A 27,905-nucleotide genomic window follows, 5' to 3' on the forward strand; every position below is an offset into this window, starting at 1 on the left:
TAGAACACTTGTCCACACTCTAAATTCTCTCTGTTCTCCATAGCCCCCACTCATCTAATTCCTATAGTCTTTTAACTCAAAGCCTTCAACTTATGTACAGCTTTCTCTGCCTCATGTTTCAAGCTTAATGCATCATCTTAATTCATCTTTCGACATCTATTTCTACTACATGCTGCTCTCTTTCTCTATCTTATATCTCCCAGAATATGTTTTATTTCAACAAATCGCTAATCTGTGCCAGGCATTGTTATTAGCAAAATGATAAGTCCTGCATGTAGCAAAGTTCCTGCCTTCACTGCATATGCATTAATAGCTCTGATTAGTCCACTTAAAAACCATTGTTCCTGTCATGCAGAACTCCATTGCCAAGCCACACAACAGCCAGCCAGTAGGTCAGCAGCTCCGTGGAGCAAGGTAAACATGTTGATTCAATTGACTTTGGGCAGAAGGGTAAGATTTTGTCTTCAGCTTTTCTCATGAGGAACATATACAACCCAAATGGAAAAACCCTGTATCCTCCTGCCCAAGCAAATAATTCGATAATAAATAATAGCTTCCACTAAAATATAATGAAGTGGTTACTTTGATAGGTAATAAAGTATGTGTTGTTTTCCTTTAGTTTTCTTTTAAAAATGTATGTTAACCTTGCTTCAGTTTGGTTTTCCAGAGTATCCTGCATAAATGGATACAAACCACATTCACTTTGCTATGTGGATGGGGGAGATGCAAAAGGTGTCTTCAGTGCATGCCCAGATATTCCCACATGTTGAACCTTCCACTTAGCTCCCAATAAAACATGTTTCTTTTTTCACAACTAGGAGAGCTCTCCTTTTCATACCTCTGCAGTGACATGATGGCATACTAAATAGAGAAGTAAAAGGTTCATATGAAACTGTAATGTAAATATTATTCACATATTGAAATTCTGTAAACAGTATTAATATTTTTCCTGTGATGCTTTTAAATTTTAATATTCTGTAAAGTATATTTTAAGCATTCACAATTTGGATTTATTCATGATAAGAGTATATTTTACCTATAATAGTTTGGGAAATATATACATATGTGTGTGTGTGTGCATGCATGTGTGTGTGTGTGTATTAATATATTTTCCTTGAGACTAGTAGTGAAGGCAAAGTTCTGAAACTGAATTTGCCAAAATGGGATTAGATGTGTGAGGGATTTATTTGGATAAACACTTTTGCAAGGTGAGGTGGAGGAAGCAGGAATAGACACAGCCTTCAGCCACAATACTTGTAAACCTTATGAAGGAGGAAAGAAAATAAAAAAGGTTAGGTAAAATGAGTTTCAGATAGTAGCACAATACTTAACATATTTTGGCAGGCCAATGGAGAGTTATCAAGCCAAAGTTTTCCTCCATATTGAGCAGGAACAGCACCTCACTATGCTTTGTCATTGGCTGACAACAGCTGTGAGGTGGGGATTTTGGACTATAGGTAGTGATGGATACAAAGATGAACCCCAGGAGCTGTCAGTCAACTGTGATAGTCACTAGGGGAGTGAAGCAGTCTCATGACAGTTACAAGCCTTGACCTTTTATTTTATACTAAAGTAAAATATAACTTTATTATGAAGACCATCGGGCCACCTAGTTACTATATACCAGTTGCTATGGTCTGAATGTGTCCCTCAAAATTCATGTGTTGGAAAATTAATTCCCAATGCAACAGTGGGAGGAGGTGAAATCCTTTGGGAAATGATTATGTCATGATGGTGGCATCCTCATAAATGAATTAATGTCACTACAAAAAGGCTTGAAAGAGGGAGTTTGGTCCCTATTCCCACCTTCGGTTCCTTCCTTCATGAGAAGATACAGTATTTCTTCCCCATGGCGGGTGCAGCAACAAAGTGCTCTCTTAGACGCAGACACTGAACTATAGGTGACTTCATCTTGGATTTCCAGCCTGCAGAACTGTGAAAAATCAATTTCTGTTCTTTATAAATGACCAGGTAGTAAATATTTTGTAATAGTAGCACAAATGAATAAACACAATTGTGAGGAAATTATTTCTGTAACATTTTACATAACAAAATTCAGCATTTTATAGGTTAGTCTGTGAAGTAGAGTTATTTATTTATTTACTTGAAAGTTCTACTAATCTGCATGTCCCTGATAATTAAAGATGTTGAGCATATTTTTTAATGGACCTGTTGGCCATTTGCATATCTTCTTTGAAGAAATGTCTGTTCAAATCCTTTGCCCATTTTTAAATCAGATTATGCATGTTTTGCTATTAAATTGTAGGAATTTCTTATATATTTTAAAAATTAATCCATTATCAGATATATGGATTGCAAGTATTTTCTCTCATTTTATAGATTGCCTTTTCATTCTGTTGCTTGTATCCTTAGCTGTGTGGAGGTTTGCTTGGTTTTTGTTTTTCTTGTTTGTTTTTAGTTTGATATAGTCCAACTTGCCTATTTTTTGCTTCTGTTTCCTGTGCTTTTGATGTCATATTCAAAAAGTCATTGCAAATAGTAATATCAAAATGATATTACCTCACTCTTGTTAGGATGTTGATTTTCAAAAAACCAAAAGATAAATGGTGAGGATATAGGGAATTTGGAACCCCTGCACACTGTACATTGAGAATGTACAATGATACAGCAACTATGAAAACAGTATGGAGGTTCCTCCAAAAGCTAAAAATAATAGAATTACCAGGCGATCCAGCACTCTTATTTCTAGATACATATCCAAAACAATTAAAATCAGGATCTTGTAGAGATATCTGCACTCCCACATTTATAGCATCGTTTTTCACAATAGCCAAGATATGGAAATAACCCATGTCTCTGCCCATTGGCAGATGAATGGATAAAGAAATTGAGGTATATACATACAATAGAATATTTTTCAGTCTTAAGAAGAAAATCCTGATATTGGTGACAATATTGATGAACCTAAGGGATCTTATGCTAAGTGAAATAAGCCAGTCACAAGAGGACAAATACTGCAGAATTCCACTTATATGAGGTATCTGTAATAGTCAAACTCACAGAGGCAGAGAAGACCACAGTAGTTTCCAAAGGCTCTGGTGTGGGGTAATGGGAAGTTTTTCAAGGAATATGAACTTTGTTGTGCAAGATAAATACATTTTAGAGAGCGGCTGTTCAATATAGTGCCAATAGTTTATACTATAATATTGTGCATGTCAAAATTTGTTGAGGCTGGGTCTCAAATTCAGTCTTCTCACCACATACATACACACATAAGGGGTTTAAAATAAATTTCAGGGGGTCTTGGATATGTTTATGTGAATCATATCCAAGTGACTGTGGTGACAGTATCGGGGGTGTTTGCAGATGTTTAAACTCATTAAAGTATACAAGTTAAATATGTGCAGTTCTCTGTATATAAATTACCCTTCAAATAGCTGTTAATAAAGTGCTCTTTAATATCATTGAAAGTGCATTAACTGAAAATTCAAACTTCAGAAAATATATTAATGGTATGCAGTCATTAGTTGGTATAATTTCCTACGGTGATAACATCTCTCTCCTTAAATTCAGTACATAAGAATTGATACCAACTGCAGTTAAACAGTGTCCACCTTATTTTGTTATATTTTACATATCAATGTGTTCAAAACCCCAGAATTAAAATTTAAAGAATCTTAGAATATTTTCTCACTTATTGACAGAATTACAGATTCAATTTTTCTGATAGTTTATATTCAGCCATTACTCCAACTATCCCAGAGATCGAGGGAGGTCTCAGTAACTTATGAAGCATCATTATGTATTAGACATATGATGGTTAAAATGCCAGCTCTTCAATTTTTCCTTTATTTAAAATGGGTTCCAGGCACACACTGCTGTGACAGCCCTTCCTTTGTAAAGAATAGAATCTGCGAACCTTATTCTCAAATTTTAAACCTAGAGCTGTATCCAAAAGCTACCTATAAAGTCATTTATTATGGGTTTTGCTTGACTCATTCTGAATACCACAGGGTAGTTTTAGAGTTTAGGGTTTCCACCAAGATATTTTCATTAAGCATATACTAAAATAGAGTTTTCTTACTGAATTTTTTTCAGCAAGTTTATAAATCTCAGGTGCAGAGCTTTCTGTAAGTTATTAATCAAAAATTAACTTTGTGAATATATCTACAGTATAATATATATACATAAATATATTATATACTATAAATTCTGAATTCCTGAAATTAAATACTAGTTTTATTATTAAGTCAATTGTCTAATTTCCCCTGGTAGGGACATCTGTATATTTCTAAACCAAACATTCCATTTTGTTATGTGTATCAGTTAAGATGACCTATACTATACTGCAGTAATAAATAACTTTCACATCTAAAACCAATTCAGTCTCTATAATAAGTTTACAAGGAGACTTAGTCATTTAGGAAGACAGCTGATAAAAACTCTGTCACAACTCATGCTAATACAGCTCATAAGGGACCATGGGAAGGCCTTGTAAAAATTCCTTCTATTCAAATGACATTGGTCAAAACAAGTAAAGTGATTTCATTTACCTTCAAGCAGGATGAAATACTGCCATCTTATTATTTGTATAGTATGAGAAAAACTAAAGTATTTGTGAGCAGCCTAATAGTTACATGATTGATAACATTTGTATTCACAATAGTGCCAGTAATAGAACCCAGAAGTATATTATTTTTCCTTTCAAACTACCCATAAACGTACCCATTGATTAATCATTGTGGGTATATTTATTCAACGAAGAATATAGCACATAATACTTCCATCTGGTTTGATATTTTCTATGTGTGCATCAGAATTTCATGAGACGTTGTCAAATGTTATAATAAAATTAATAAGCTGAAAGCCCATGCATGACATTTAATCTATTCCAAAAGAATGCCATTATGAAACTTAGGAAATATAGTAATCAATCTTATCCATAGAGGATACATTCCAAGACCCCCAGTGGTTGCCTGAAACTGTAGGTAGTTCAAATCCTATATATACTGTACTATGTATTTTTTTTCTATAAATACATAGCTATGGTAAAGTTTAATTTATAAATTAGGCATAGTAAGTAACAACAATAAAAATGATAAAATAGAACATTTATAATGTACTGTAATAAAAGTAGATGAATGTGGTCTCTTACTCTCTCTCAAAATATCTTGTTGTTATACACTCACCTATTTTTAGACCTCAGTTGAATGCTGGTTAACTGAAACCAGGGAAAACAGCCATGTACCCGGGGTTGGGGGGGGCGCGGGGGGAACTAAACATGCTTTCTTTATTCTGAAGTTCTGAAAATCCTAATAATTGAGTAACTTTATTCTTTCCCTGTGTAACTCCAGGCAATTTATTGAACCTCTATGCACCTAAGATTCAGGGATGCAATGAGAATGATAAAACTGCTCTATCAGCTGATTTATGTGAGAATTAAATCAGCCAATGCATGTAAATTCCTTAACTTGGTCCCTCACAGAAAATTCTTTAATGTGTTAACCAATACTCTGTATGAAGTGAATGATATCATGTATATTATTTTGCAAACTCCTATTTTGCATATAGGTGCAGACATAGCTTCAGGTAAATACATGCAAACTAACTTATCTTTTAATATCTTAAAATTTTTCCATTATAAGGATACAAAAACTATTCTACCAATTACCTGTTGAAGAAACTCATGTTTAATTCTGGTTTATTTTGCCATCATAAACAATGCTGTGAAAGCATTCTTGTATATCGAGGATAACATATATGCCTTTACTTCTGTAGGATAGATTCTTTTTAAAAATATTTTAACTTTTATTTTAGGTTCAAGGGTGGACTTTTAATCTAGGTGCTGAGACTAGCACATATGTATACTTTTGCACTATGAAAATATCAATAATTTTTTTCTCCAAGTGCAGTAACTTACAGTTTCACTAAAGTATATAAGATTTTCCAGGTTCATTGAAATTCCCTAAGAAATACTATACACTCTTATGATAAAAAATATATGTATAAAATTTATATTAGATTTCCGCATGTATGAATTTAATAAAGCAACTTTATAATTTTGCCAGAAGCCCAGCACAGTGCCTAGAATGTATAATTTCACAGTATATTTTAGTTAAAATATTATAATTATGCCAATTGAGGGATGTATAATATTAGTAATAAACACTGAAATTACAAATATACTACTTCTGATATTATCAGGCCTAACAAAAACAAACTTGGTTGAATGTTATAAAATCAGTTACACATAAAAACATTATTATTAGCTATTACCCACTACATATTTTTCAAAATTCTGTTGTTGATTTAACTCATTTGCTAGATTAATATAATCGTCTCATTCAAGACCATAAAATCAATTTCCCATTTGTTTTATTTTATCTATATCTATGACAAACACTTTAAACCAAAATTTGAAGTGAATGTATTATAAAATAATTAGTATAAAATAAAAGCTATTCAAAAGACATATACTTCTATTGTATGGATATGTAAAATGAGTAAGAATGAGTAAAATGAGTAAGAAAAACTTTTTGTGTTAGCCACTGGGATTTTTGGTTTGTGTATTACTTTAGCATATTATCTCATTTTGAATGCTATAGTTTAGGACACTAGTTTAAACTACTGAAGTTAAAATGTTCTTATTTCAGAGGATAGAAGGATCTTACAGTGACAGACATCCATCAGTAAGAATTAATTTCTAGAGATAAAGTGAATACAGTAACCAAAGTGTCAGTAGAGTCAGCATGGTCAAAATAGTCTACATGGGAAATGTTTGGTGGCTCTTAGTTGATCATGGAGTCTCTAGAACCAAAAGTTAGGAATGCCAATTAAGTTTCGATTTGGCTTATATGATCTCAAATCTTCAGGTTTACAAAACATATCTTGAGCCACCACCCAGCTCTGTCACCCAGGCTGGAGTGCAGTGGCACCATCTCAGCTCACTGCAGCCTCCGCCTCCGAGGTTTCAGCAATTCTCATGCCTCAGCCTCCTGAGTAACTGGGACTACAGGTACTCACCACCATGCAGGGATTTTTTTTCTAGTTTTTTGTGGAGACACGGTTTCACCATGTTGGCCAGGCTGCTCTCGAACTCCTGACCTCATGATCCACCCACCTCGGCCTCCCAAAGTGCTGGGATTACAGGCGTGAGCCACTGCGCCCGGCCCATTTTTTCTTTTCACCCACCTCGGCCTCCCAAAGTGCTGGGATTACAGGCGTGAGCCACTGCACTGAGCCTACAGCTCATTTCTTACCACATAAAGCTTTGCACCTCTCCACAAAACTGCCATCAGGGATGTCCCCAGAAACCATTCATCCCAGGTGCCACGCAGAGAAGAGTTTCTTGTTCTCCTTTTCCCTTTACCTCTTCCCTCTCACCTCATCATGTTCATTCATTCATCCCTTTTCCATTCTCACTTTTAAGCTTTAACCTTTCAAAAGCCTATCTTCCCCTATAAGTAATGTATTGTAACTCCCGCCATCACCATATCCTTCTCCAACCAACCAAACTGCCATCCTGAGTTTACGGAAAGTCCATAAACTAAGAAGAAATGGGAAACATTCATTGCTAACTTGGCAGCCCCTCATCCACCCTAGGTGAGAGCACAGATCTTATTGTCTTTGAAGACCCTTTCTTTTTTTTTTTTTTTTTTTTTTTGAGAAGCAGTCTCACTGTCGCCCAGGCTGGAGTGCAGTGGCACAATCTCGGCTCACTGCAAGCTCCAACTCCTGGGTTCACGCCATTCTCCTGCCTCAGCCTCCCGAGCAGCTGGGACTACAGGCGCCTGCCACCACGCCCGGCTGATTTTTTTTGTATTTTCAGTAGAGACAGGGTTTCACTGTTAGCCGGGATGGTCTCGATCTCCTGACCTCATGATCTGCCTGCCTCGGCCTCCCAAAGTGCTGGGATGACAGGCATGAGCCACCATGCCTGGTCTGAAGACTTTTAAATGCTGCCATATTCAAGACACGTTGAAACTCACCTGTATTCGATGAGCCTGCTTTTCGCAAATGAGTAACATAAAACAGACTGAAATACCTTAAGCTTCTCAGCCTTTTACCCTCCTCTGGAATAATGAGTGTATCCCAAAAGTAAATTCATAATGAGGTCCAGTTTTTCCTTCCTCCTTGGCTATGAAATAGACAAGAAAAAGGCAAGCTAGCCATTTCCATCTCACTATAGCAGACTCTCATGCTTGCTTTTTGACTGTATGTGGGAAGCGGGGGCCTGGCTGCTTTCCTACTTCCTAAGCACAACTTACTTTTCCTAGGAAATTCTCAACGCAACCTACATGGAATAAACCAGCTTTCCCCCTTTGTTTCCAATATTCTTACAGCCAAAATGTCCAGAATGGGCAAGGCAACCTGAAAAAATGAGGACGGGTACATTATCCCATGCGCTAAACTGCCACTTACACTGGTTAGTCATGAAATCGGCAAAATTCCAGATGAGCTCTCCAACCACGTATTTTCTGCGTTTTTGATCCAGACCCAGATGGTACTGCTCTAGCAGACTTTTCTGGTACTCTTCACTGAACATCAGAGGTGGATCCTGGGATTCAAGGCAAAGAGAATTAAGAGTAAGGACTGGCAGAATTGTAAATGTTAGATAAAAATAAAGATCCACTTGATGGTGACCAAAATATCTGTCCTCACTGGGGGGCTGTAGTGACTGCAGGACTCACTGATGCTAGGGTAAAGACAGCCAGGGAGAAACTGGAAATCATCATTCTCAGTAAACTATCGCAAGAACAAAAAACCAAACACCGCATATTCTCACTCATAGGTGGGAATTGAACAATGAGATCACATGGACACAGGAAGGGGAATATCACACTCTGGGGACTGTTGTGGGGTGGGGGGAGGGGGGAGGGATAGCATTGGGAGATATACCTAATGCTAGATGACGAGTTAGTGGGTGCAGCACACCAGCATGGCACATGTATACGTATGTAAGTAACCTGCACAATGTGCACATGTACCCTAAAACTTAAAATATAATAATAAAAAAAATACAAAAAAAAAGACAGCCAGGGAATGATGTAACCCAGAATTAAAAAGGAGGTTTAAAAAAAAACATCAATTAGTAACTGCTTTATTTATAAATATAATCTGATACTCAATTTTTCTTACTTTTCTGTCTCTATCTGCTGATACAGTCTTAAGGCTGAACTACACTAGAAAGAAAAATATGTCTTTAGGTCAGGCGCGCTGGCTCATGTCTGTCATCCAAGCACTTTGGGAGACCGAGGTGGGAGGACTGCTTGAGCCTAGGAGTTCAAGACTAGCCTACAAAAAGTACAAAAGTTAGCCAAGCATGGAGGCACACACCTGTGGTCCCAGCTACTTGGGAGGCTGAGGTGGGAGGACTGCTTCAGTCCCGGAGGTCAAAGCTGTGGTGAGCTGTGTTTGCACCACTACACTCCAGCCTGGGTGACAGAACAAGACCCTATCTCATGAATGAATGAATGAATGAATGAATGAATGTAAAATGAAATTAAACTAAACCAGGCTGGGCATGGTAGCTCAGGTCTGTAATCCCAGCACTTTGGGAGGTCGAGGCAGGAGGACCACTTGAGCTCAGGAGTTCAAGATCAGCCTAGGAAACACAGTGAAACCCAGTCTCTATAAAAAGGCTAAATATTTGCTAGGTGTAGTGGCGCATGCCTGTGGCTCCAGCTACTTGGGGGGCCGAGGAGGAAGGATCACTTGAGCCCAGGAGGTTGAGCAGTGAGCTGTGATTACGCCACTGCACTCCAGCCTGGGCAACAGAGTGAGGCTGTCTCAAAAAAAATTTTTTTTTAATTAAACCAAATAAATTCAGTTATCTAGTCATACATCAAGACCTCAATAGCCACAAGTAGCTAGTGGCTACCATTTCAGACAGTGCAGACATGGGGCATTTCCATCATTGCAAAGGTTCTTTTTTGAAACAAGGTCTCACTCTGTCACCCAGGTGGGAGTACAGTGGTGCAATTATGGCGGACTGCAGCCTTGACCTACTGGGCTCAAACAGTCCTCCTACCTCAGCCTCCCAAGTAGCTGGGACTAGAGGCAAGCACGACCATACCCAACTATTTTTTTTTTTCTTTTTTTTGAGACGGAGTCTTGCTCTGTCGCCCAGGCTGGAGTGCAGTGGCACAATCTCGGCTCACTGCAACCTCCACCTCCCCAGTTCAAGCGATTCTCCTGCTTTAGCCTCCTGAGTAGCTGGGATTACAGGTGCATGCCACCACACCCAGCTAATTTCTGTGTTTTCTTAGTAGAGACGGGGTTTCACCATGTTGGTCAGGCTGGACTTGAACTCTTGGCCTCGTGATCCACCCACCTCAGCCTCACAAAGTGCTGGGATTACAGGTGTCCGCCACTGCACCCAGCCACAACTCATCTTAAATATTTTGTAGAGATGGGGTCCATGTTGTGCAGACTGGTCTCAAACTCCTGGGCTCAAGAGATCCTCTGACCTCGGTCTCCCAAAGGGCTAGCATTCCAGGTGTGAGCCACCACACCCAGCACTGCAGAGGTTCTATCAATGCTCACCTAGACCCTCTCGAGTTTCTTAAGAATTCAGAACTGAGGCTGGGCATGGTGGCTCATGCCTGTAATTCCAGCACTTTGGGAGGCCAAGGCAGGTGGATCGCTTGAGGTCAAAAGTTCAAGACCAGCCTGACCAACATGGTGAAACCTCATCTCTACTAAAAAAAAAAAAAAAAAAAAAAAAAAAATTCGGTGAGCATGGTGGTGCATGCCTGTAATCCAAGCTACTTGGGAGGCTGATGCAGGAGAATTGCTTGAACCTGGGAGGTGGAGGTAGCAGTGAGTCAAGATTGCACCACTACACTCCAGCCTGGGCGACAAGTGAAACTCCTCCTCAGAGGAGAAAGAATTCAGAGCTGGTTACATTTTCAAAGAGAATAAACAAGGGTGCATATCCACAAACCATTTCCCCCTACTTGACTAGTTTGCAGAAGTGTCATTCTGTAAGCACGATAAATTTAAGGGTGCAAACAGAACAGTGCAGTCCACTGTGGGTGGCTGTTCCCTGTGTGTCAACGGGAGTCCCAGGAGCTGTGAGAAAAGAGTGTGAGCTGGCTGGGGAGGGGACAAGGGGCTGGATGGGGTTCAGGAATCCACATGAAAAAAAACCCACAAGACAAAGCAACATAACTTTGGTGAGAAGGACAAAAAATGAGATGGATAAACAAATGAGGACAGGCCAGGCATGGTGGCTCAGGCCTGTAATCCCAGGATTTTGGGACGCCGAAGCAGGCAAATCACTTGACGTCAGGAGCTCGAGACCAACCTGGCCAACATGGCAAAACCCCACCTCTACAAAAATACAAAAATTAGCTGGGCATGGTGGCGGGTGCCTGTAATCCCAGCTACTTGGGAGGTTGAGGCAGGACAATCGCTTGAGCCCAGGACATGGAGGTTGCAGTGAGCTGAGATCACACCATTGCACTTCAGCCTGGGTGACAGAGTGAGACTCCATCTCAAAAAAAAAAAAAAAAAAAAAAAAAGACAAAGTGAGTGATTAAACATGGCTCTAAGATCTCACCCATGCCCTCAATAGGTATTATTTAGCATGTGCTGTGTCAGCTATTGCAGAGTACCTGGGAAACAACAATAAATAGGACTCCTGTCTCCTGAGCCCACAGTCCGATCAAAGAGAGAGCCAAAGAAATAACAACAGTGCCTGGCGAGAATGTTGGGAGAGCCAGGTTCTGGCTGCAACAGGGCAGAGCATGGGGAAGGTTCCCTCCGCCTGGGGCAGGCGGGGTAAACCTCCCCACAGAGGGGACAGCTATGAGGAGACTCAGACGCCAAATAGGAATCTTTTCAGCCACGTGTCGTGACTCATGCCTGTATTTCCAGTACTTTGGGAGTCCAAGACAGGAGGTGAAGACCAGCCTCATAGTGAGACTGCATCTCTACAAAATATTTTAAAACTAGGCTGCACATGGTGGTGCACGCCTGTAGTCCCAGCTACTCAGGAGGCTGAGGCAGGGGAATCGCTTCAGCCCAGGAGTTCGAGGCTGCAGTGAGCTATGATGACACCACCACACTCCAGCCTGGGCAACAGAACAAGACTCTGTCAGGAAAAAAATAAAAAATAAAAAAAAGGCTAGCACAGTGGATCACACCTGTTAATCCCAGCACTTTGAGAGGCCAAGGCAAAAAGGTCAATTGAGTCCAGGAGTTTGAGACCAGCCTGGGCAACACAGCAAGACCCTATCTCTAAAAAAATAAAAAGAAAAGGATCTTTTAGTTGGTGATTATGGTGCCAACATGGGCATTCCAGGCAGAAAGAATAGCTCAAGCAAGAGCAGGAGAGCAAATGAGGGCAGTGGAAACAGATCAGTGGCCAGGAGTGAGAAGAGAAGAGGATGAAAACCCAGGAGAGAGAGCAGAGGACACTGAGTGTCCTGACTAGGGGTTAGGACTTTGTCCTATGGGCCTGGGGGAGCCAATGATAGGACTCAAAAATTTTGATTTGTGGCCGGGCACAGTGGCTCACACCTGTAATCCCAGCGCTTTGTGAGCCTGAGGCAGGAGGATCACTTGATCCCAGGAATTCAAGACCAGCCCGGGGAACACAACAAGGCCCCATCTCTACAAAAGTAAAAAAAATTAGCCAGGCATGTTGGCCTGTGCCTATGGTCCCAGCTACTCAGGAGGCTGAGGTGGGAAGATCGCTTGGGCCCAGGAGGTTAAGGCTGTAGTGAGCAGTGATCGCACCACCGCACTCCAGCTTGGGTGACAGAGAGAGAGGCGGTCTCAAAAACACACAAAAATTTGGATTTGTTAGAAAGACCACTTGGGCACGGGTGATAGGAGGCTGTCTGGAAACAAGGCCAGTAAGGAGTCCACCTTTGAGGACCAAGCGAGTGGGGCAGAGGCCTGGCTGCTGGTGAGAAGGGAACGTGGACAGGGTAGCGGGAGGTGAGCCCAAAGCTGAAGCAAGGGGAGCACTGCAGTGGGCGCAGGGCAGGGTGGGGGAGGCAAGTGGCATCTCTGCCCAGAGAGAATACACAAGCAGAAAGTTCAACACCGCTTACCTGGTGAAACCCTATAAGCGTTTCCACTCCATACGCGCTCTGAATAATGGGATTGTGATGTCTTACACCAATTCTCAAACTGGGCGGGCAGCTGCAGCTGAATCAACTCCAGGTGCCCGTAGTTGCGATACCAAGAGTAGTAGCTGTTCACACGGATCACATCCACATACAGAGCCTAGGACCAGAGTAGCAGAGCCCGTTCAGCAACCACAAGACCGCATGACTCAGTACTCACATGCTGTGGGGGCTCCTCTGACAGAGAAGGTAAGAAGGGGATGTAATCCCAGCACTCCGGGAGGCTGAGGCAGGAGGGTGGCTTGTGGCCAGGAGTTCAAGACCAGCCTGGGCAACACAGCAAGACCCCAGCTCTACAAAAAATAGTATCAAGAAAATTAGCACGGCACAGTGGCTCATGCCTGTAATCCCAGCAGATTGGGAGGCCAAGGTGGGAGGATCACTTGAGCCCAGGAGTTTGAGACCAGCCTGGGCAACATCGTAGGACTCCATTTCTACAAAACAAAACAAAAAGCCTAGAACGGGAAGAGCTGCCTCTCGGGGCTGAGAACGTCCAACTGCACCAATTTAGATCCTGAAATTACCCTGCCCCACCAGCAAAAAACATGGTCACAAAGTGGCCCAAAGGAGGCAGGCCTGTGATTGCACACTGACGCTCATGACGTGTGCAGCTGGGAAGGGCTGTGAGAGGCAGAGCAGCTGCCAACACGCAGTCCTCAGCCAAAACCCAGGGCCCCCGCCACTGGAACTGACTCCTCTCCAGGCAGCACTCCCAGCACTGGGCATCCCCTCACCTTGCCCTGGAGAAGCGCTCCCACCCAAGGGGCCAATGCACTCATTCTCGCAGATAATCTTTTTTCGCTTTGTTTGGAAGACAGAGTCTCGCTCTGTTGCCCAGGCTAGAATGGAGTGGCACAATAGTGCAACCTCTGCCTTCCATGATCAAGCACAGGCGTGGTGGCATGTGCCTGTTATCCCAGCTACTTGGGAGGCTGAGGCAGGAGAATTGCTTGAACCTGGGAGGCGGAGGTTGCAGTGAGCTGAGACTGTGCCACTGCACTCCAGCCTGGGCAACAGAGCAAGACTCTATCTTTAAAAAAAAAAAAAGAATGCTAGTATCAACCAGGCACGGTGGCTCATGCCTGTAATCCCAGCACTTTAGGAGGCTAAGGCAGGAGGATCACTTGAGCTCAAGAGTTTGAGACTGGCCTGGGCAACATAGTGAGATCCCATCTCTACAAAAACATTTAAAATTAGCCGGGCACAGTGGTGTACACCCGGAGTCCCAGCTACTTGGAAGGCTGAGGCAAGAGGGTTGCTTAGGCCCAGGAATTCAAGGCTGCAGTGAGCTGTGATCACACCACTGCACTCCAGCCAGAGCAACAGAGTAAGACCTTGCCTTCACAAAAAAAAAAAAAAAAAAAAAAAAAAAAAAAAAAAAAAAACTCAGGTTCCAACCCTGGAGTTACTAAATCGGGATCTCAGAATGCAGAGATCTGGCATTTCAATAAAACTTCTGGAGATTCTGATCAGCCAGGTTTGGGCCAGATGAACTCTAAGCTCACTTAAACCTTTGACATTTTATGAGTCTATTAAGTCGAGTACAAAAAATGCTGAGTCCAAACTGAGCAAACAAATCCCATCTCCCTATGCCCAGCCTCCTTGGATTCAGAAAGCCACACTGCCTGGAGAGTAAGCAGAGAGAGAATTGTCATTAACCCAAAGACCATCTTTGAAAACAGACTGGCTGCGGCTGAGTGCGGTGGCACACGCCTGTAACCCCAGCCCTTTGGAAGGCCGAGGCAGGAGGATCACTTGAGCCCAGGAGTTCGAGACCAGCCTGGGCAACATGGCAAGACCCTGTCTCTATCTTTCTAAGTAAAACAAAATAAAAAGCTCAGACTGGCAGCACATGGTTCTTTCCAGCTGTTCCCATGAGCAGGCTTCAGGACAAGCCCAGGCAAAGGCAGGGAGAAATGGGGTGGGGACCCCCAGGCTCACCCCCTTGTCTGCTGCGTAGGTGGAGTTGGTCACAAAGGTCACAGGCTGGGAGGGGTCCAAGGCTTTGGTGTGAGCAATCACCATCCTGTCCACAAAAGAGAGAAGACACAGGTTCCGTCAGTCCGGGAAAGGCTAAGACACCCTCCCATCCTCTCTGTCCCATCTTCCCCTGACAGAACACAACTGGGGGCCAGGTATGATGGCTCACATCTGTAATCCCAGCACTTCAGGAGGCTGAGGCAGGCAGATCACTGAGGTCAGGAGTTCAAGAACAGCCTGGCCAACATGGCAAAATCCCATTTCTACTAAATATACAAAAATTAGCCAGGCATAGTGGCACGCATCTGTAACTCCAGCTACTCAGGAGGCTGAGGCACAAGAATTGCTTGAACCCGGGAGGTGGAGGTTGCAGTGAGCCGAAATCACGCTACTGCACTCCAGCCTGGGCCACAGAGCAAGACCCTGCCCCAAAACAAACAAACAAACAAACAAACAAAAAAAAAAAAGAAAGAAAGAAAAGAAAAAAAAAAACAAAGCACAGAGCCGCTGCTTTCTTCCCTAACTTGAGATGTGTTTTACATAAGGGCACGTTCCTCTAGTCCTAGACCGAGCTCTCTAACATCACTCTTTCTCCCCCACCCCTGAATCCAATTCCCCCAGAGGCGTAGCCACCCTGCCAGGTACACAGAGCTGAGGTCACTGGACTGAACACTGCCAAAAATGAGGTTCGCTTCCTGAAATAACTCTTGAACACAGGAGTGAATGGGCTGTGGATTCAGGTGGAATATTTATTAATGCATCAAGCAAACAGGTAGTGCGAGGTGGGAGGTAGGCACGGGGCTGGGTGCTAGGTGCTCAGTAATGACTCAAATCTAAGTCCACAGGTCCTGGGCAGTGGGAGTGGAGATGCATGCACAGAAAAACGGTGCAAGTGCCAGGCGAGGTGGCTCACGCCTAGAACCCCAGCACTTTGGGAGGCTTACTTGAGACCAGGCGCTTGAGACCAGCCTGGGCAACATAGCAAGACCTTGTTTCTACAACAAATTTAAAAATTAGGGCTGGGCATGGTGGCTCAAGCCTGTGAGCACTTTGGGAGGCCAAGGCAGGTGGATCACGAGGTCAAGAGTTCGAGACCAGCCTGGCCAACATGGTGAAACCCCATCTCAACAAAAAATAAAGAAGAAAACTAGCTGGGCATGGTGGCGTGAGCCTGTAATCCCAGCTACTCGGGAGGGTGAGGCAGAACTGTTTGAACCCAGGAGGTAGAGGATGCAGTGAGCCAAGATCGCAACACTGCTCTCCAGCCTGGGTGACGGAGCAAGACTCTGACTCGTGGGGAAAAAAAATATTAAAATGTAGCCTGGCAAGGCAGCGCACGTCTGTGATCCCAGCTATATGGGAGGCTGAGTGGGGAGGATCGCTTAAGCCCAGGAGGTCGAGATGGCAACAAGCTATGATTGCACCACTGCACTCCAGCCTGGGCAACAGAGTGAGACCCTGACTCTGAAAAACAAACAATGAAAGAAATGTTGCGAATGGAAATGACAAGTGGTGGCAGGAATTGGGCACTCTATGAGACAACAGACACATCCCGGATTGGAGAGTCAGGGACAGGCTCTTAGAAGAAATGGCCTTTATGCTGAGTCAAGTTAACCAGGAGGGATGAAGGGAAGAGGCTCCCAACAGAGGGACCAGTCCGTGCTCAGAGCTCCCAGCATCTGCCCAAGGCCTCCACAGAACAGACTGTTGTGTTTTTGTTTTGTTTTGTTTTTTTGAGATAGAGTCTCATTCTGTAGCCCAGGCTGGAATGCAGTGGCATTATCTCAGCTCACTGCAATCTCTGCCTCCTGGTTCACCTGAGGCGATTCTCCTGCCTCAGCCTACCTAGTAGCTGGGATTACAGACGTCCACCACCACGCCCAGCTAATTTTTGTATTTTTAGTAGAGACAGGATTCACTACCTGTTGACCAGGCTGGTCTCGAACTCCTGACCTCAGGTGATCCACCCACCTCAGCCTCCCAAACTGCTGGGATTACAGGCGTGACCCACTGCATCCGGCCTATACTGTTGTTGAAACTGGTTTTCTTCTTCTTTCCTCAGTTCTTTTCTTTTACATCTTCCCCCATCATTGCTCTGCCCATCCGAAGGCTGTGGCTGGCACAGGACAGAACAGAACCTCCTAGCCTCAAGTTCCAAACCCACACTCTCCAATAGCCAGGCTCTCAGATGGGAAGCTTCAAAGCCTTGTGACAGCCTGGCTGAACCTCTCCAGCCTGGGCGCTCCCTCCGTTTCCTGCCCCGGAAACAGGCATCTCCTCTGGCCACCTCCCAAAGCCTGTCTGGAAGCCTCAGGCACCCGCTCCTGGAAGCCTGTACGATTCACAACAAAGGGCCTGTCCACCCAGTCGTGCTGAGCACACCCCTATTCCCCCGAGCTCTGAATTGTCCTTTGCCCAGGCTAGGACAACATCTCAGAGCCTTCTGCCTGCTGCAGACTCGGCTCAGCCCAAATCACTCCATGAAACTGGGGTGTGGCATCTGCCTCAAGGAGCATTTCTACAACCTCTGCTGCCTCTACCACAAATGAAACTGGCTCTCACCCACTGGCTCTCGGTGACAGGCACAGTGCGGAGCCCCACAGGGAGTGTGTAGAAGTCAAAGGCCCCAGTGACTTCTGTGCAGTCAGCCGCACCTATGACAGCCAAAGCGCCAGGTGTGAGCGCCCCGACAGCCTGAACCCCATCTGGCCTGCCCTACAGCAGGAAGACCCCTCGTGCATGCACCCCAGCAGTCGCCTCTGGGCCTGCAGAGCAGCAGCAATCAGAGGCTCTGCCCTTCACTGGCTGACCCTGGGACCTGCCCTTCAAAATCAGGCCTTCTCCTTGACCAGACGAGGTGGCTCATGCCTGGAATCCCTACACTTTGGGAGGCTAAGGCAGGAGGATCACCTGAGTCCAGGAGTTCAAGACCAGCCTGGGCAACAGAGTAAGACCCCAACTCTACAAAAAGGATTTTTTTTTTGAGACAGTCTCACTCTGTCACCCAGGATAGAGTGCAGTGGCATGATCTCAATTCGCCGCAGCCCCTGCCTCCTGGGTTCAAGCAATTCCCCTGCCTCAGCCTCCCGAGTAGCTGGGATAACAGATGTGCACCATCATGCCCTGCAAATTTTCATATTTTAGTAGAGACGGGGTTTCACCATGTTGGCCAGGCTGGTCTCCAACTCCTGGCCTAAAGTGATCCGCCCGCGTCAGCCTCCCGAAGTGCTGGGATTACAGGCGTGAGCCACCATGCCCGGCCTACAAAAAAAATTTTTTTAATTAGCCAGGCATGGTGGCATGTGCCTGTAGTCCCAGCTACTCAGGAGGCCAAGGTAGGAGGATTGCAGCTCAAAGCTGCAGTGAGCTGTGATCAGGCCATTGCATTCCAGCCTGGGTGACAGAGTGAGACCATCACACACAAAAAAAATAAAAATAAATAAATAAATAAATAAATAAATAAAAAATCTGGGCCTCCCACCAAGGGTGGGAAACATCAGAAAGCTCAGAGGACCACACCTGCCCGTTCACCTGTCCTAGGCTCCTGCTGAAGCCAGGGCTACCAGATGGGGGCAAAAGACCTCCCTTAAGCAAGTCCCAAACCACCATTACCTCCCACGAGTACAGGTAGGCGGGGTGTTCGTGCATCAGGTACGGCCACCAGAGGTTGGCACCCAGCACCTTCAGCTGGCCCTGGGTCCCAGCCTGGTTGTCCACGACTTTGTTTTCTGCATTCAAAAGACACACTTCCAACTTGAACTGGTTACTGCACTTGACGGAGATCTGGTAATTCACCAGCCCTGCAGGAGGCAAGAGAGACCAGGGCTTAGGGACGGACATGACCTGGGTCACACAAACGGGAATACCCCACAATGACCACTCCCAGGCACTCTCATTTGCTTCTGTTGCTTTTTTCTTTTTTTTTTTTTTTTGAGATAGAATCTCGCTCTGTCGCCCAGGCTGGAGTGCAGTGGCATGATCTGGACTCACTGAAACCTCTGCCTCCCAGGTTCAAGTGATTCTCCTGCCTCAGCCTCTGGAATAGCTGGGATTACAGGCACCTGCCACCACATCCAGCTAATTTTTGTATTGTTAGTAGAGACGGGGTTTCACCACATTAGCCAGGATGGTCTTGATCTCCTGACCTCATGATCCGCCTGCCTCGGCCTCCCAAAGTGCTGGGATTACAGGCTTGAGCCACCGTGCCCGGCCCTGAACCAATGCGCCCGGCCCGCTTTTTTTTAATTTAATTTTTTAATTTTTTTTTTGAGATGGAGTCTCACTCTGTCACCCAGGCTGGAGTGTAGTGCTGCGATCCTGACTCACTGCAACCTCCACCTCTGGAGTTCAGGTGATTCTCCTGCCTCAGCCTTCCGAGTACCTGGGAATACAGGAATGCACCACCATGCCCGGCGAATTTTTGTATTTTTAGTAGAGATGGAGTTTTGCCATGTTGGCCAGGCTGGTCTCGAACTCCTCAACTCAGGTGATCCACCCGCCTCAGTCTCCCAATAGATTAGATAAATTATTAATGAATTGCTTCCTTTAACACCCTATTCATTGAATTTTCCAGTAAACCACAATTACTAATTACTCCTGAAATCAGAAAAGAGGTTAAAAAGATTTTATAACAGTATCCTAGGAAATCTACTACTTTCAATAGTAGTTGAATTACCAAAACCCGTCACTCAAGCCAATGACTACAATTAAGATATCAGTAACATTTCCTAGATAAATAAAGTCAATTAATTATATTTGCATCTGGGAAATAGAAAAAGTACATATAAGCCATGATTTTGAAGTCAAAAGAGAGAGAATATTTGGCAAGGAGGGGTGAGTTATAGTATGTAATTATGACATATAGTAGTTTTTTGTATGCTGGTAACTAATTTTAATTTCCTACATTTTTATGTAGATTTCTGCTATGCTTGTCCTATTTTCCTAATCATCTTTCTATATGGATGACTACATAAGTCTGAGAATACCAAAAGAGACAGACACAGAACCAATCGGATTCCTTTCTTCTTGAAGCTTCTGCACAGCAAAAGAAACTATCAACAGAGTGAACAGACAACCTACAGAATGGGAGAAAATTTTTGCAACAATGCATGTGACAAAGATCTAATGTCCAACACTGATAAGGAACTTAAACAAATTTACAAGAAAAAAAAATCTCATTAGAAAGTGGGCAAAGGACATAAACAGACACTTCAAAAGAAGACACACATGCGGCCAACAAGCATATGAAAAAAAGCTCAATATCACTGATCATTAGAGAAATGCAAACCAAAACCACAATGGCATACCATCTCAACACCAGTCAGAATGGTTATTATGAAAAAGTCAACGCTGGGCATGGTGGCTCACGCCTATAATCCCAGCACTTTAGGAGGCCAAGGCAGGCAGATCGCCTGAGGTCAGGAGTTCCAGACCAGCCTGGACAACCTGGCGAAACCCCGTCTCTACTAAAAATACAAAAATTAGCCCAGCGTGGTGGCAGGCGCCTGTAATCCCAGCTACTCAGGATGCTGAGGCAGGAGAATCGCTTGAACCCGGGAGGCAGAGGTTGTAGTGAGCCGAGATCATGCAACTGCATTCTCCAGCTTAGGTGACAGAGCGAGACTCTGTCTCAAAAAAAAAAAAATATTTGAATTTTGTTTAAATCGCTAACACATACTGGGCATTTAATAACAAAAAAAAGGACATGAGATTGTGATCCTTATGAGGGTCTGAGAGGCATTTCACTAGGGTTCAACATAGAGCAGTCTGAAACATACTGTAATAATTTAATCCAATGGCTCATCTACAGCACCTAAAAAGGTTACAGCAGATTCTCATTATTCAGTGTAGTTACGGTCTAGAAAGTTCCATGAACAAATAAAAAGTTAGGTTTCAGCAAGCTACTGGTCACATTTTTGTAAGCTTACCAACACCTACTTTTGTTGTATGGGTGCTTATTTAATATATATTGTTGGCCAGGCACAGTGGCTAACGCCTGTAATCCCAGCACTTTGGGAAGCCAAGGCGGGCAGATCATTTGAGGTCTGGAGTTCGAGACCAGCCTGGCCAACGTGGTGAAACCCCGTCTCTACTAAAACTACAAAAAAAAAAAAAAATTAGCCAGGCATGGTGGCGCATGCCTGTAGTCTTAGCTACTTGGGAGGCTAAGGCAGGGGAATCGCTTGAACCCAGGAGGCAGAGGTTGCAGTCAGCCAAGACTGCACCACTGCACTCCAGCCTGAGCAACAGAGTGAGACTCTATCTCAAAAAATAATAATAATAATTAATTAAATGAATGAATAAATAAATAATATACATTGTTCATTCATTAACATTGAACTCACAGCCAATGGCACCACAGCACTCACGCCTGAATGGAGTTTATTTAATGCATGTATTTTCTCTGTAAGGCACATCACAGACTTCTTGGACTTGTGAATGCTAAGCAGCACTTCAGCACTATGCTTGGGGGTTAATTTAAATGGCAAAACAACCAACAAACAGTACAAAAATAGGAAAAGCATGGCATTAAATAGACCACAAAAAGGATACCTGACTATTGTATGAGAGCTGAAAAAGAAGGCAGAATATCATCCTGTTCAAACTCAAATTCTTTGACACTCTATGCAAACACGTGACTATGAAAGTGCTGTGAGTACTGATTTGGGGGTTACAAAAAATAGTAGGTGAGTTCACAAATACAAAAGCTGAAAACAAGGAGGATTGACTGTATTTTCGTAGACAATCTAATCTCATAGAAGATTTCAATTCAGACAAAAATCATGAGAATTACTGTATTACAAAAGGGCACTAGATAGGGGGAAAAGAGTAAAAATCAGAATTAAAACAAAGGTTCAAAATTCTGCATCAACCATATCCAGTTACACTTTAATATATTTGTAGCAGACTACATTATTGTTCCCAACTCATCACCCCTCCCTATATCTACAACCTTTCCCCAAGACAATGCAGTTCCTCCTGCTAGAGGTCAGGTATATTTATCTATACTATCAATGTTAGCCATGGACAAGGTATGTGCTTTGGCTGACTGAATGTCAGTGGACATGATAGAAGCAAAGGCTTAAAATGTACTTCCAGAACTGGAGTTTCCTTGTGATTCTACCACTGTGACAAAAAACACATTCTCAGGTAGTCCACTGATCCAAGGGGGAACAAACACACAGAAAACATACCTAGACTCTATCTGCAGCTTGCAGCCTCACCAAGCCAAGAACAGTCAACTCACAGATATGTTCGCAAAAATAAATGTTTTTCGTACCTTAAGTTTTATATAATTATTGACCTATAGTTAACTGATATACAATATACATTAATCTTAAAATATCATCATCCCATTAAAAATATTTACATTAAAAACTGAGACCACTTTCTGTCCTCCTTTTTTTTTTTTTTTCTTTAAATTAAGAGACAGGGTGTCTCAATGTTGTCCAAGCTGGAGTTCAGTGGCTAGTGGCTATTCACAAGAACGATCATCGCACACAACCTCAAACTCCTGGGATCAAGCAATCCTCCTGCCTCAGCTTTCCAAGTAGCTGGGACTATAAGTGTGTACCACAGCATGTCAGCTCTCTCTCTCCTTCTTGACCTAAAGCCTAGCATAAAATTAGCTAAGTAGAATGTTTCCAAAGATGCCTGCATCACTATCTCCCATCCCACATAATTTCTGTTTGATTTTGCCATTCACCCATAAAATGGTGGGATCTACCTCCCCTCCTTGCAAATTTGAGCTGGCCCTCTGATCCTGTCTAAGATCTGAAGCCAGATATTAAGGTACTTCATTAATTTCCATGTTTGTCCTCTATGCAACCTAGCAATCAAGCAAGAAGTCAAAACCTACTGATATAGTTTGGATGTGTCCCCACCCAAATCTCACCTTGCATTGTAATAATTCCCACGTGTCAAGGGTGGGGCCGGGTGCAGATAACTGAATCATGGGGATGGTTCCCCCCATACTGTTCTCGTAGTAGTGAATAAGTCTCATGAGATCTGATGGTTTTATAAATGGGAGTTCCCCTGCACATGCTCTCTCCTGCCTGCCACTATGGGAGACATGCTTTTGCACCTCCTTGCCTTCCACCATGATTGTGAGGCCTCCCCAGCCACGCAGAACTGTGAGTCAATTCAACCTCTTTCCTTTATAAATTACCCAGTCTCAGGTATGTCTTTATTTGCAGTGTCAGAACAGACTAATACAATAAGTTGGTACCAGTAGAGTGGGGTGCTGCTGTAAAGATACCCAAAAATGTGGAAGCAACTTTGGAAATGGGTAACAGGGAGAGGCTGGAACAGTTTGGAAGGCTCAGAAGAGGATAGGAAAATGTGGGAAAGTTTGGAACTTCCTAGAGACTTGTTGAACGGCTTTGACCAAAATGTTAATAGTGATATGGACAATAAGGTCCAGGCGGAGGTGGTTCTCTCAGAGGGAGATGAGGAATTTGTGGGGAAACGGAGTAAAGTCACTCTTACTATGCAAAGACACTGCAGGCATTGTGCACCTGTATTAGAAACAGGCATAAGATAGGCGGGAAAGAGTGAAAATAAGAATTTTTTTCTAGAGTTCCCTAGAGATCTGTGGAACTTTGAACTTGAGAGAGATGATTTAAGGTATCTGACAGAAGAAATTTCTAAGCAGCAAAGCATTCGAGAAGAAGCAGAGCATAAAAGTTCAGAAAATTTGTAGCCTGATGATGCAACAGAAAACAAAAGTCTATTTTCTGAGGAGACTGGGTTGTAGAAATTTGCATAAGTAATGAGGAGCCAAATGTTAATCACCAAGACAATGGGGCAAACGTCTCCAGGGCATGTTAGAGACCCTCACAGCAGACCCTCCCATCACAGGCCAGGAGGCTTAGAAGGAAAAATGGTTTTGTGGGTCCAGAACCCCCTGCTGTGTGCAGCCCAGGAACTTGGTGCCCTGCATCCCAGCTGCTCCTGCCATAGGTAAAAGGGGCCAAGGTACACCTCGGGCCATGGCTTCAGAGGGTGCAAGTTCCAAGCCTTTCAGGTTCTAGGCGGTGTTAAGCCTGCAGATGCACCGAAGTCAAGAATTAACGTTCATGAACCTCCGCCTAGATTTCAGAAGATGTATGAAAATGCCTGGAAATCCAGGCAAAAGTTTGCTGCGGGGGGGGGGCCCTCATGGATAACCTCTGGTAGGGCAGTGTCAAAGGGAAATATGGGGTTGGAGCCCCCACACAGAGTCCCCACTGGGGTACTGCCAAGCAGAGCTGTGAGAAAAGGGCCACCATCCTCCAGACCCCAGAATGGTAGATCCACTGACAGCTTGCACTGTGTGCCTGGAAAAGCTGCAGACACTCAATGCAGCCAGAAGGGGGGCTGTACCCTGCAAAGCCACAGGGGCGGGGCTGCCCAAGACCCTGGGAACCCACTTCTTGCATCACCTAGATGTGACACATGGAGTCAAAGGAGGTCATTTTGGAGCTTTAAGATTTGCCTGCTGGGTTTTGGACTTGCATGGGGCCTGTAGCTCTTTCGCTTTGGCCAATTTCTCCCATTTGAAACGAGTGTATTTACCCAATGCCTGTATCCCTGTGTATCTAGAAAATAACTCACTTGCTTTTGATTTTACAGGCTCATAGGTGGAAGGGACTTGCCTTGTCTCAGATGAGACTTTGGACTATGGAATTTTGAGTTAATGCTGAAATAAGAGTTTGGGGGACATTGGGGAAGGCATGATTGCTTTTGAAATGTGAGGACATGAGATTTGGGAGGGGCCGGGGAAGAATTATATGGTTTGGCTCTGTCCCCACCCAAATCTCATCTTGAATTGTAACAATTCCCATGTGTCAAGGGTGGGGCCAGGTGGAGATAATTGAATCATGGAGGCAGTTTCCCCCATGCTGTTCTCATGGTAGTGAATAAGTCTCATGAGATCTGATGGTTTTATAAATGGGAGCTCCCCTGCACGTGCTCTCTCCTGCCCACCATGTCTGACTAAATTTTGTATTTTTACTAGAGACGGGGTTTCACTATGTTGGCCAGGCTGGACTCCAACTCCTGATCTCGTGATCCGTCCACCCCGACCTCCCAAAGTGCTAGGATTATAGGCATAAGCCACCACACCCGGCCTCTTTTTTTTCTTTTTCTTTTTTTTATCTGGAGACTCAGTTTTGCACTCGTTGCCCAGGCTGGAGTGCAATGGTGCGATCTCAGCTCACTGCAGTCTCCACCTCAGCAGGAGAGCAGGAATCTTCAGTGATCCACGGGCAGATCTGCAGCCATTGTGGGCACCTGTTCCTCCCGTGACCTTTGTGCCCGCGTCTCTCCCTCCAGTACCTATTGCACGACCCCCCCACGTCCGCCTCCTGCCATTGCCAGCAAGTGCCTTGCGCGGGTACCTGGCTGCGCTTATTAATCCATTATGGTCGCTCTGTCACTGGTGCCATTATGTGCTCACGCGCCCACTCCCTCAGGTTTAGAAGGTGCGTTGCCCGGCAACAGAAGAATCTGCTGGCTTAGCCTTTGGCCGAGTTGGCAGCTGGACGAGGACGCTCAGAGCCCAGCTCTCGAGAGTTCAAGCATCCGACGGTTCCCCACTGCTCCCAGGAGCGGTTACCCGGGCACTCTGTGCCCCTCATTCCTGTTTGGGCCAAGGCCGAGGACCTGCGAGTAGGGCTCAGTTGCCTGGAGCCCCTTCAGCCCATCCCCCAGTTCACTTTGCTTGTGGGATCTCCCCGTTGCTCCTGCCCCTGGACTGAGTGGCAGGCCATCCTACAAGCACCCGGACACTCGACATCAGTGGTGTCAAGACAACTCTAAGAAGGTTTTCCGTGATCCTGCAAGACCTGTGTTCCATCCTGGTGATTCTGCCTTCAATTTCACTGCACAGGTACCACAGTAAGCCAGTGCTGTGTGCTCCGAGTTCCAGGGCATCCCCCAGCTCAGCCACTACACTGAGCACAAGGACTCTGTGGGGCCCAGGAGCAGGTAGTCACCCCTTTGGGGTCCACAACACCCAGCTGTCCCCAGACTTGTTTCCAGGGAAGATAGTGTCGAGGGCCCTCAAGGAGAGCGGGGCAGGGATGCCTGGGCAGGACAAGGACCCTAGAGTCCAAAAGAATCCTGATGATCAGAGAAGAGTCCCCGAGGTCACCGGGGATGCACGGTCTGCATTTTGGCCCCTGCGGGACACTGGAGTCCTCTTTCCCTTTGTGCCCAGTCCCGGGCCTCTGCAGACATACCTCCATGCCCAGAGGTCAGAAATCAGATCCAACCAGACATCCCAGACCACCTGGACGAGCTCGTGCACCAACCAAAATGCCATCTCCAGCTCCTACAGCTCCGCGGGAGGCTTGCTGGGGCTAAAGTGGAGGAGGGGGCCAGCGGAGCAAAACAGCGGGGCAGGGATGCCTGAGCAGGACAAGGACCCCAGAGTCCAAGAAAATCCTGATGATCAGAGAACGGTCCCCGAGGTCACCGGGGATGCACGGTCTACAGTTCGGCCCCTGCGGTACAATGGAGGCCTCTCTCCCTTTGCGCCCAGGCCCGGGCCTCTGCAGACAGACCTCCATGCCCAGAGCTCAGAAATCAGATATAATCAGACATCCCAGACCTCCTGGACGAGCTCGAGCACCAAACGAAATGCCATCTCCAGCTCCTACAGCTCCACGGGAGGCTTGCCGGGGCTAAAGCAGAGGAGGGGGCCAGCCTCATCCCGCTGCCAGCTGACCCTCAGTTACTCAAAGACAGTGAGTGAGGACAGGCCTCAGGCTGTCTCTTCGGGTCACACACGGTGTGAAAAGGCGGCAGATACAGCACCAGGGCAGACACTTGCCCCAAGGGGTGGCTCCCCCAGATCCCAGGCCTCTAGGCCCCGTAGACGCAAGATTGCCCTGCTGCCACGCAGGCGAGGGGAGCCTTTGATGCTGCCACCTCCCTTAGAGCTGGGGTACCGGGTCACGGCTGAAGACCTGCACCTGGAAAAAGAGGCGGCATTCCAGCGGATCAACAGTGCGCTGCAGGTTGAGGACAAGGCCATCTCGGACTGCAGACCCTCATGGCCTTCCCACACTCTGTCCTCACTTGCAACAGGGGCTTCTGGTGGGCCTCCTGTTTCTAAAGCACCCACTATGGATGCACAGCAGGACAGACCCAAGTCCCAAGACTGCCTGGGCCTAGTGGCCCCCCTTGCATCTGCTGCAGAGGTCCCCTCTACAGCTCCCATGTCTGGGAAGAAGCACAGACCACCAGGACCCCTGTTCTCCTCCTCAGATCCCCTTCCTGCCACCTCTTCCCACTCCCGGGACTCAGCCCAGGTCACCTCGCTGATTCCTGCGCCCTTCACAGCTGCAAGCATGGATGCCGGCATGAGAAGAACAAGGCCTGGCACGTCGGCTCCTGCAGCTGCCGCGGCAGCCCCTCCCCCCTCCACATTGAACCCCACGTCGGGGTCACTACTCAAGGCAGTGGATGGAGGCCCTTCACATTTCTGGGCCTCAGCCACAGCTGCAGCAGGTGCCCAGAGGTCAGAAGTGAGATATACCCATAGATCCCAGACCTCCCGGACCAGATTGTGCCGCAAACGAAAGGCCAGCTCGAGCTCCCACAGCTCTCCGGAAGGCCTCCCAGAACTAAAGCGGAGGAGGGTGTCAGCCTCATCCCGCTGCCAGCTGGCCCTCGGTTCCTCAAAGACAGTGAGTTAGGACGGACCTCAGGCTGTCTCTTCGGGTCACACCCGGTGTGAAAAGGCGGCAGATACAGCACCAGGGCAGACACTCACCCCCAGGGGTGGCTCCCCGTGATCCCAGGCCTCTAGGCCCCGCATCAACAGTGCACTGCACGTTG

General features: G+C 45.3%; 2 pseudogenes across 1 annotated transcript in view, besides 2 other annotated features; one reads left to right on the plus strand and one right to left on the minus strand.

Moving 5' to 3' along the window:
• On the plus strand, positions 350–27,844 carry POM121L6P (POM121 transmembrane nucleoporin like 6, pseudogene; annotated as a pseudogene).
• The window catches only part of GUSBP2 (GUSB pseudogene 2), an 85,068-nt pseudogene continuing 58,332 nt past the window's right edge, over positions 1,170–27,905 (minus strand). The window contains exons 4-9 of the transcript NR_003504.3: positions 18,693–18,880; positions 15,042–15,126; positions 13,026–13,200; positions 8,383–8,518; positions 1,807–1,933; positions 1,170–1,262 (exon numbers count right to left, since the gene is read on the minus strand). The product of NR_003504.3 is annotated as a GUSB pseudogene 2 (transcript). The remainder of the gene's footprint in view (positions 1,263–1,806; positions 1,934–8,382; positions 8,519–13,025; positions 13,201–15,041; positions 15,127–18,692; positions 18,881–27,905) is intronic.
• Positions 6,995–7,174: a silencer, noted in NCBI's record as "fragment chr6:26845091-26845270 (GRCh37/hg19 assembly coordinates)". NCBI's record gives its function as "represses an EF-1alpha promoter that drives an FKBP-Casp9 reporter gene in an ReSE screen in K562 erythroleukemia cells {active_cell/tissue: K562}" and the evidence as "EXISTENCE:reporter gene assay evidence [ECO:0000049][PMID:32094911]".
• Positions 15,504–16,359: an enhancer, noted in NCBI's record as "H3K27ac hESC enhancer chr6:26853600-26854455 (GRCh37/hg19 assembly coordinates)". NCBI's record gives its function as "activates a minimal SCP1, AML or CMV promoter by ChIP-STARR-seq in primed H9 embryonic stem cells {active_cell/tissue: H9 hESC(primed)}" and the evidence as "EXISTENCE:reporter gene assay evidence [ECO:0000049][PMID:30033119]".

This window comes from Homo sapiens, chromosome 6, assembly GCF_000001405.40.
Source record: "Homo sapiens chromosome 6, GRCh38.p14 Primary Assembly".
NCBI lineage: Eukaryota > Metazoa > Chordata > Mammalia > Primates > Hominidae > Homo > Homo sapiens.